Here is an 11,343-nt window from a genome sequence, read left to right on the forward strand (position 1 = left end):
TTGAACTCCGTGGCCTCTGTGATCCACATGCCTCGACCTCCCAAAGTGCTAGGATTACAGGTGTGAGCCACTGCACCCAGCCAGGAATCTGGTTTATTGGAGCTTCTAAGTCCTTTCCTTGTGTGCTCATCTCCAGGTTAATGGAAGTTGCCACATGTTTACACTTTTTAGTAGTCAACCTCTTTTTACCTAATTAATGATTCTTTGTATTAAATATTTTCTGCTCAATTTCCTTGTGTGACTTCTGGCTTCTTCATGAACCGTGACTGACACAGGTGATTGGCGACTTGGATTTTTATATTTTCCTGGTGGATGAACTCTTTCATCATGATGACATTACTGTCTTTATTTCCAGGAACACTTTTTGCCTTAAAGCCAAAGTTACTTTGTTTTATAGTAGTACAAAAAATCCATCTTTTTTTTGGTTCGTGTTTGCATGAAATATTTTTTTCTTTTTACTGTTGACCTTTCTATATGTTTACTTTTAAGACATAGTTCTTTGCAATTAGTATGTAGTTGGGTTTGCATTAAGTATAGTTTTTTTGTAATTAGCATATAGCTGGTTTTCATTTAAGATGTTTTTTGTAATTAGCAGCATGTGGTTGGGTTTTGTTTAAGGTTAGCTTTTTGTAATTAGCGTGTAGTTGGGTTGTGTATAAGGTGTTGTTTTTTGTAATTAGCATGTAGTTGGGTTTTGTTTAAGGGGTGTTTTTTTGTAATTAGCAAGTAGTTGGGTTTTGTTTGCCCTTGTTCCAGGGATCTTGCCTTTCTGGGGTTCCAACAGGAAGCTCAGATGTTACCAGGCCCCATCTCCTTGAGACCAGCAAAATCTCTGTTCAGCTTCCCAGCTTCGCATCTCCAACTTTCTGTTCAGTAGCCACTAGTCTCACCCAGAGGTGAGACTAACCCTAGAGGTTAGTCCCTCAAATTCTGGTCCCTCAAATTCTTGCTTTCTTGGTTGCCTTCCAATACCTTCAAACAGGTTTTTAAAAAGTCTAGTTTTTCTAGGATTGTTCTGAAGCAAGTTGTTCTTCTGTTGCTAGAAATGGAAACCTGGAAATATTCAACCGGCAAAAAATGTATTATCCTTAAGAAACTAGTAGCTCTAAGCATTTACCTTAAACAAAATAAGAGTAAGAAAGAAAAAGCAAATACAACACGAGCTCTTAAAACCCAAACTAGTGGCCCATAGCTTGGAAATGAAGACATGCAATGCCTGTTAAGAACTGATAAGGAATGATAGAATTGGATTCACAGGATGGTGAATACTGTGACATTATCTTGATTGAGATAAGGAAGGACATGAGGGGAAGTGGTGGTGTTTGATGGGGAGGACACTCAGCTCCCTTTCTTGCCACTACTGTGTTATGGCCTGGAAAAACTCATGGAACAAGATGGTAGCCAGAGCCCTCTGATACTAAGGAAGATGTAGGGGAATCCCTGCTAAGGTAAAACCAGATTAAATCTAGTTAATATTTAATTAAAATTTTTAACTAGATGGATAGTTGCGTCTTGGTGGTTGTATTTCTTTACATGCTGGTTTATATCATATTTTAATTTAAATTGCAAACAATTTTCAGTTATTTCACTACAGTATCTGGCATATAGATACCTTAATAGGCACTGGTGGGAGGAACGCAGTCAGCATAATTGGCAGTTAGCGCGTTATCCCTGCAATTCAGTAACTTAAGCAGGAGTTTGCTTCTAACGCTTTGGGGCTCTCACCCTTTAGTAAGCCTCATCTTTCAGTGGGAAGTAATGAAAATGTAGACATGCCATTTTAGGATAAGTTAATCAGGCTCCCTGGGTCTGGCCTGGCCCTTAATGACTAATCATGTAATGGTGGCTGTTAGGAGTGATGGAAAGCAAGAGACTAGCTTTGGGGTCAGATGACCTGGGATAGAGCCCCTCTCGGACACTCACCAGCTTCATGACTTGGAAAAGTTACTTAATCTCCCTGAGCCTCAGTTTCCTTACCGTACTGCTTTACAGGCCTACTGTGAGGAATGAATGAGACAAGGTATAAAGTACCCTTTGCAGTGTAAATTCTTAGACGTTAATTCTCCTCTTTGGCCCCTTTCCCACGGAGGCCATGCATTCATTGAGTCCTCGTGGGAGCTTATGGGTGTATTGTTTTCCAGCTGATGGAGGCAGGACTGACAGATTCACATCTGAAAGGTAATGCCATTTAGGTGGCTGTATAGAGCACCCTTGACATAACTAACTCATCTTAGAGAAAGTCTCCATGTTATATTTCATAGGGCACTTTGCCAACAAGGATAAGATGTTTTGCTTAATAAACAAATAAAATAATAAAGACTACATCCAACCAGATACGGACACAAACAAGCACACTCTTCCACTATCAGTTCTCACCAGAGGACTCTGACCATAAAAGAGTGGGCCTTCAGCATCTCGAAACGGCCGTCAACTGACAGCTGTCTTGCAGTCACTCCTGATAAGAACTCGGCATCTACCGCCAAGGACTCTTTCTGCCAAGACTGATCGCCCGGCCCAGACCCGGGATTCCTTTTGACGTCTTTGCTTCCCCGGGACTGGCTCGTTAGCCTTTTGTCCTATCTCTTTTTCTCTTGACGCTAAATGTTACCTTGTTTGTTATGTGGAAAGTTTAATCTGTATCATTTATATATTAACTTTACTATTATATGTGTTTTGCAATATTTGTAGCTGTGACTCCTGAGTGAACAGGAAGTACTAAGGAGAATTGCCTTCTTGGGAAGACCATGTAGCTCGTGGTTTTTGTGATTGAAATAGCATTAATAAAAGCCTGACATTGTGGAAAAACACAAGCATATGTGGACCTGTCTCTAACTTTGCATTATTCATGACAGTCCCTTAAAGGAGTCTGTTCCAAATTCAAGTCGAAGACAATTACTCAACAGAATATGCAAAGAACAAAGAATGAAGTTAGAGGCCATCTGCAACTTTGGTCTCACTGGGATGGGGGCAGAACTTAGGAACAAATGGGAAGGAACCCATGTCAGGTGGGTTCTTTTCTCATTCCTTTTGGCATCTCTGTTATTCCTTATGTGGTCTCAAATTGGTTCCTAAAATATGGTAAAGCCAGGATGGATATAAGGGAGAAAGCAGTGAGCTGGGGGATGCTTTCTGCCTGTGCCTACTGTTCTGACATCTGGTTATGAAATCATTCTAATAGCTAATGCTTCCCGAGCTTTTTCTATGTGTCAGGCAGTGTTTTACATATATTAACTGACTTACCCTCCGTCACATAGCTTTTAAGTGTCAGAATGAAGATTCATAGCTGGGCAGTCTGGCTCCAGAGCGCTGCTCTTAAACTCTGTTGCCTCTTTGTGTACGCATCTACTTTGTCTTCCCTGGCTGTTCCATGCAAACCTTGGTGAACATGCCCTAACTGAACTCTTCATCCTGCCTCCCAGACCTGCTCCTGCCGCACTTAGGATTTCAGGTGATCTCTCTTTCACCCGCATGGTTACCCAAGTTGAAGCCCCAAGAGCCCTCCTGGATCCCATGCTGGTCACTTCAGGCCTCACATTTAAACAATCACCTATTTGTATTGATCTGATCTCTCAAATTTGTCTAAAATCGGAACCTCTCCCCTCCATCCCCAGTGTCAATGCCTGCTCTGATCTTCTACCTGGACTATTGCATTAGAGAGCAGCCTCTGGAGGGGGCTCCCTGACTCTAGTTTTCCTGACTCTAGTTTTCCTGGCTTTGGTCTACTCTGCAGAGTGCACAGAAAGAACAGAGAAAATGCTGGCCTTTGCATGCAGTCTTCTGTTTAAAAAGCCTCTGGTAGTTGCAGTGAGCCAGCATCACGCCACTGCACTCCAGCCTGGGTAATGGAGCAAGACTCCATCTCAAAAATAAAAAAATAAGAAGCTTGGCCGGGTGCAGTGGCTCATGCCTGTAATCCCAGCACTTTGGGAGGCTGAGGTGGGTGGATCACGAGGTCAGGAGATCGAGACCATCCTGGCTAACACAGTGAAACCTCGTCTCTACTAAAAATACAAAAAATTAGCCAGGCGTGGTGGCGGGCGCCTGTAGTCCCAGCTACATGGGAGGGTGAGGCAGGAGAATGGCATGAATCCAGGAGGCAGAGTTTGCGATGAGCCGAGATCACACCACTGCACTCCAGCCTGGGTGACAGAGCAAGACTCCGTCTCAAAAAATAAAATAAATAAATAAAAAAGCTTCCGGTGGCCCCCTCTGACCCATGGAAGACACTAGAACCTGAAGAGTATCGACCCCAGAGTCAGATAGCCAGGAGTTGTGAATCCTAGCTTCACCATTTAATAAGAGCTTCTTGAAAAATCTCATGCAAAAATTGAGGATTACCAGAAAACCTACCCCATAGATGTTGTGAGTGTCAATTGAGTTCATATGTGTAAGGCACCGGGCATCATGTGTGGTGAGGAAGGACTCAGCAATTGTTGCCTGTGTTTTTTATTACACTATAAAGCTCAGAACCCTTAGCTTGCTTTATGTTTCTCTATATGGTATTTTCAGTGGAATATCTTGCATATCCCTATATATATTTTTTCATGTTTGAGCCACCCTAAACCTCATTATTCCAGGATTCATCAGTATTTAAACTTAGCATTTTTTTTCTTCTCTAGAATCTCCTTTTCCCCATTCTATGCCTAAGTAAACCATACGGAAGACGACAAGTGTGACAGAAACAAAGGATCCAGGAGTCATGAAGAATTCCAAGATGGCCCAGAATCTCCCTAGTTATGTTAGCATTTTTATTTGAAAGTGGCATAGGCCAGGTGCGGTGGCTCAGGCCTATAATCCCAGCACTTTGGGAGGCTGAGGCGGGAGGATCACTTGAGGTCAGGAGTTCGAGACCAGCCTGGCCAACATGGTGAAACCCCGTCTCTACTAAAAATATGAAAGTTGGCCAGGTGTGGTGGTGCACACCTATAATCCTAGCTACTGTAGTGGCTGAGGCATAAGAATCGCTTGAACCCAGGAGGCAGAGGTTGCAGTGAGCCAGGGTTGCACCACTGCACTGTAGCCTGGGCGACAGAGTAAGACACCGTCTCAAAAAAAAAAAAAAAAAGTAGCATAAGATGGAGGTACAGGGATGTGTGACCCTTTGTTACTGAAACACGAGGGGTTCAGTGTAGGTCCTGTTGCTCACTACACAGAAAGTCAATCACTGAGGCAATGAGTATTACCAGGGAAGAAAGTTTTAATCGGGTGTTTCAGCCAAGGAGATGGGAAATCGGTCTCAAATGTGTCTCCCCAACAACTAAAATTAGGGGTTTATATAGTGGAGAAAGAAATGTAACCGTGTGTGAGAGGTAAGGAAGAGGAGCTGGTCAACAGGCAGTGGGTGGTTGATTAGGCAGTTATGACAGGTGAGGGGTCTGGCATCTCATTGTCCAGATACTGTGATCTAGTGAGTTTCAGTTCCTTGATACTATTTGGCAGGACTGATGGTTGATTTCCTGAAAAAGGAACTCCGATAAAACAAAAGTAAACTTCTGAAGTTTTAAGACTGGAAGGTTCAATTTCTGTGTTTATTCAAAAGAAACCATACATCAATTCTATGGGACAATTGGGCCAGTTTCACCTCCTTTTTATTTCTTCACCTCGACTGACATGGAGTCTGAAGCTAAGCAGGGGATCAGTATGCACATGGACTGCTGAGAGGCTGCTCTTTCTCATGTTTAGTGTTGGTCACTGAATTCTGCCTCTGGTCCTTGGCTGTCTGGAGGAGCAACTGAACATGGACAAAAGGTAAAAAACTCATTAAAGAGGTGACAGATGTCACTCAGAGGAAATGAATACACCTTGAAGGGGGTATGTTTTAATCAGAGACAAAGAAGCTCTCCAGCAGTTCTAGAAAATGATAGCCAAGATTTGTTGATTATCATATGCCAGGCACTGTGCTAAACACCTCACATACATTATCTTTTTTTAATGTCAAAACAAACTTGTGAGGTGTTACTATTATTTTCATTTTACAAATGTGACACCAAGATTTAGGTAGATTGAGTTACTTGTTGAGAGTTGAACCCAGCTGTCTGATGACAAAGTCTATTATTATTTTCAGAAGTCTCTAAAATATCAGTCCTTCAAAACTCCATCTGGTCAATGGATCAATTGGGTTAGTGGTTTTTAAACTTTTGACCTTAGTCCACAGTAACAAATACATTTTCTTTCATGACCATGACTCATGACTCAGGACACACACACACTCTTATAACCTCTTTTTTTTTTTTTTTAAGAGAAGGTCTTGGTCTGTCACCCAGGCTGGAGTGCAATGGCATGATCTCAGCTCACTTCAACCTCTGCTTCCCAGGCTCAAGCAATCCTCCCACCTGAGCCTCCTGAGTAGCTGGGACTACAAGTATATGCCACTATGCCCAGCTCATTTTTGTACTTTTTGTAGAGATGGGGTTTCATCATGTTGCCCAGGCTGGTCTTGAACTACTGGGCTCAAGTGATCCACCTGCGTTGGCCTCCTCAAATGCTGGGATTACAGGTTTGAGCCATCGTACCCAGCCTGTACACTCATATTTACATGCCCGCATATGAAAAGTAAAACTGAAACAAAAGTTTCACAACTCAATAGTTGCACTTCCTATACGTTTTCTATTAAATTTTCATTTTATTGCAAAGAAAAGGCTTATTATAACCACCAAATTTGTACGTGGTAATTTGCACTTTGAAAGTCTTAGAATATTTTTAATCCTTTTTCAAATTATTGGATCCTTATGTTTCTGTATTTCTTGGAAATCCTTTTAGGCTTATCCCACCCACTAGTCATTCCAGGAAATACCTTCTCATCATATATATAGACATTTAGTATGACATGGTCATAAGATCTTAGAGTATTGTTTTGTAGAAATTGCTAAAAAGGTATTTTGTAAAGTGGATTTTTTTGTGTGTTTTGTAACAGGAGAATTTGCTTTTATTTATCTTATTACCAAAAGAAATTGTATTATACTGATCATTTCCATATGTATTTTTAAAGTTGCTTGGCTGGGTTGAATCTTTATTCTTTAAGTTACAAGGACATTGTATTCAAATAAAAGGAACAATCATAATATTATTAATTAGAGCAGTAAGGCTTTGGTTTCCATGCAAATAAGCATAATTGAAATAGAACTGAGTTTTTTTTAAAGTGGATTTTGAAACTGGTGGAAAAACTTGGAAAACAAATATCTCAAAGCTAAAGCAAATGCAATCTGTATATGTAAATGAGATTGATTAATTTTAGCAGGCAAATGAGAAAATCAATGATTTTCAAAATCGAGTAATTTGGTAACCATTAGTTTCATTAGTCTTTCTGTTTCAAACTTAATTATTTAAATATAGAACTAGATTGAAGTATAATTTATGGAGAAATCATCCTTAAATTAATTACATGCAAGCTTTCCCCTATAAATGGAAGAATTGAAGGTGAAATTATAAATGCTTATTGCAGAGCATGGAATCCTTTGGTCGTGGCTTGTTCGGGTTTGACTTGGGAGATGATGTGGAAATGGGAGTACACTAACTTTGACTCAAAGCAAGATCTGAATCTCAGCTTTGACTCTAACTGTGAGCTTTTAGGCAACTTTCTTAACTTCTAAAGGGCTTCACATTTCTTAACTATTATATTAGAGAATTATATCTATGTTGCAGAGCAATTGTACAGACTAAATAAGGAAATGTATGTGAAAATCTTAGCCTAGCGTCAGGCACACAGATAAGGCTTTTATTAGGAATGGTGTCCCCAAACCCCTCACCTTCCTGGGTGGATGGAGGAAGGCTTGGGTTCAGGAAATTCTGTGTTTCTGGGACTGCTTAGGGGAGAGTGCATGGTCTGCTGGCATTTCCCCATTAGTTAGCAGTATTCTTATCTATGACATTCTGTGGATCTCTCACAGCATCACTTCCATCAGGAAACCAAGATGGGCTTTAGCAGGTAGGTCCTTCGAATTGTTGAAAAGGCCAGAACAGCAGATGAGGTAGGGAGAAACTCATACATTTGGTTTTGTTTTTATTTCCCCATTGCAATGATTGGTTTTCCTAATATTTTTCATTTCCTCATCTCGCCAAATTGTCTCATTATGACAATCATGATAACCAATACTCATATGACACCTACTCAATGATTTTGTGGGATAACTAGGGTAGGTATTAGTCTGTTCTCATGCTGCTGTAAGGATATACCCGAGACTGGGTAATTTATAAAGGAAAGAGGATTAATTGACTCAGGTCCACAGGGCCCGGGAGGCCTCAGGAAACTTACAATTTTGGTGGAAAAGGAAGCAAATATGTCCTTCTTCACAAGATGGCAGGAGAGAAGAATGAGAGCTGAGAGAAGGAGGAAGCCCCTTCTAAAACCATCAGATCTCATGAGAGCTTACTATCATGAGAATCACATGGGAGAAACCACCCCCATGATTCGATGACCTCCCACTAGGTCCCTCCCACCACACATGGGGATTATGGGAACTACAATTCAAGATGAAATTTGAGTGGGGACACAGTCAAACCATATCAGGTATTATTATGGACATTATATAGATGAGGAAATAGAAGCTCGGAGAGGTTACATGGACTGCCCAAGACCATGCAGCTAGAAAGAGATTGAGATTCATACCCATCTGGAGTTTCCAAGTTTGTTTTATATATATACTATATATACTTAAATTACATTTAATTTTTAAAATTAACACATAATAATTGTACATATTCATGGGGTACATAGTGATATTGTGATACATATATAGTGTATAGTGATCAGATCTGGGTCATTAGTATATTCATCATTTAAAGAATTTGTCATTTCTTTGTTCATTCCATATCCTCCTTCAATACTCAATATCCTCCTGGCTATTTAAACTATTTAATATATTATTAACTATGCTCATCCTGCTGTGGTACAGAACACTAGAACTTATTCCTCCTATCTAGCTGTAATTTTGTGTCTTTTAACAAATCTTGTCCTATCCTCTCCCTCCTCCACCCTTTTCAGCCTTTCATATCCTGTTTTACTATTTGCCTCTATGACATAAACTTTTTTTTCTTTCTTCTTCTTCTTCTTTTTTTTTTTCCCGAAGTTTCGCTCTTGTCGCCCTGGCTGGAGGGCAATGGAGTAATCTTGGCTCACTGCAACCTCCGCCTTCTGGGTTCAAGTGATTCTCCTTCCTTAGACTCCCAAGTAGCTGGGATTGCAGGCATCTGCCACCATGCCTGGCTAATTTTTGTATTTTTAGTACAGAGCGGTTTTCACCATGTTGGCCAGGCTCATCTCAAACTCCTGACCTCAGGTGATCCACCCGCCTCAGCCTCCGAAAGTGCTGGGATTATAGGCGTGAGCCACCATGCTTGGCCAACATCAACTTAAAGTTTCCACATATGAGTCAGAACACGCGGTGTTTGACTTTGTGTTCCTGGCTTATTTTCTTCTAATATAATGTCCCCCCAGTTTCATCCATGAGCTTTATTCTTCTGAATCAAGCTTTGCCCTGCATGGATGCTGCTGGTGGGCCACAGGCAAGGCTTGGTGAAATGGTACATGTCATTGCAGGCCCTGCTGCACTGGGGGAGAGTGGCAGATGAGAATTGGTCTGATGTTAGTTGAAATTTCTTCTTCAGAGCTTAGCAGGCTGGTCAGCAGATGGAAGATCATTAAACTGAAGAGAACCATCTGACCCAAAAAGGGAAAGATCACCAGGGCGAACACAGTCAGGAGTCATTCACTTTCCCCAGCACAGTGAACCTAGAATAGCACAGAACAATTTTTAAAAAGTAGAAGACAATTGGAAGACTTATATGAGTTGATTTTAAGTCTTAACATAAAGCTACAATAATCCAGAGAGTGTGGTATTGGCATAAAGGTAAACATATAGATCAATAGAATAGAAAAAGAGTCTAGTAACAAACCCACACATAAATGGTGAATTGATTTTTGACGAAGATGCGAAGACAATTCAATAAGAAATGTTCTAATTGTCAATTAGAACAATTTACAATACATATGCACAACAATGAACTTCATTTCAACCTTTACTGTACACAAAAGTTAATCTAAAATGGGCCATAGACCTAAATGCAAAGCCTAAAACCATAAAACTTCTAGAGAAAAACATAGGAGAAATTCTTGGTGATCTTGGGATAGGCAAAGCTTTCTTAGATAAGACCCAAAAAGCATTAATCATAAAAGAAAAAATAAATAAATTGGGCACAGTAACTTCTATTTTTCAAAATATACTTTGAGAAAATGAAATAAAAAGACACACGGGAGAAACTATTCAAAAAATGTATATCTAATACAAATATTTGGAATATAAAACTCTTACAACTCAATAAGAATAAAAATTGACAAAAGACTTGAATATACACTTCAAAAAAGAAGAGATACAAGTGGTCAATAAACACCTGAAAAGATGCCCAACATTATTAGTTATCTTGGAAACGCAAATTAAAACCTCAATGAGACACCACTTCACACTGACCAAAATGATTAAAAAGGCTGACATTATCAAGTTTTTCTGAAGAGGTAGAGTAATCCAAACTTTCATAAATTACTGGTGGGATCATAAAACAGTTCAACCCTATTTGAAAAGAGCTGGACAGTCTCTCATAAAGATAAACATGCCCTGACCATATGACCCAGAAATTCCACTCCTAGATATTTACCTAACAGAAATAAAACCATATGCCCAAAGATTTATACACGAATGTTTCTAGATGCTTTATTCATGTTCATCAACAAACTGGAAACAAGTAAAATGTCCATCAGCAATTGAATGGATAAACAAACCGTGGTAAATTTGTAAAATAAAGCACTGCTCAGCAATAAAAAATAAAATACTGATAGAACAACATTGATGTACCTCCAGAACCTTCTCAGTGAAAGAATTCAGACACAAAAGATGCTATTTATGAGACATTCTTGAACTGCCAGATTAATCATTGGTGATAGAAATGAAACCAACCCAATAGTTCCATAGATTTTTTTTGGGAGGGGGGTAAACATAGAAATTAAACCTTATGTTAGTAAAAGGTTCTATTTGAGTTCCTTCCTCAGGAAATGACCTTCAGGCCTCTCAACCTACCAAATTTTGAGTTTCTAGTGAAACTCATCAGATCACCACATCCGGACAATGAGATGCCAGACCCCTCATTCATCATGATTGCTTCATTGCCCCTCCTTAGTTCCTGTTTTCTTACACATTGTTGCATTTCTTCCTTGCTATCAACACCCCTAATTTTAGCTGGTCAGGGAGATGGATTTGAGACTGAGCTCCCGTCTCCTTGGCTGCAGCATCCAATTAAAGCCTTCTGCCTTGGCAATACTCATCATCTTAGTCACTGGCTTTCTGTGTGAGGAGC

This window comes from Homo sapiens, chromosome 2 (genome assembly GCF_000001405.40).
Source record: "Homo sapiens chromosome 2, GRCh38.p14 Primary Assembly".
Classification (NCBI taxonomy): domain Eukaryota; kingdom Metazoa; phylum Chordata; class Mammalia; order Primates; family Hominidae; genus Homo; species Homo sapiens.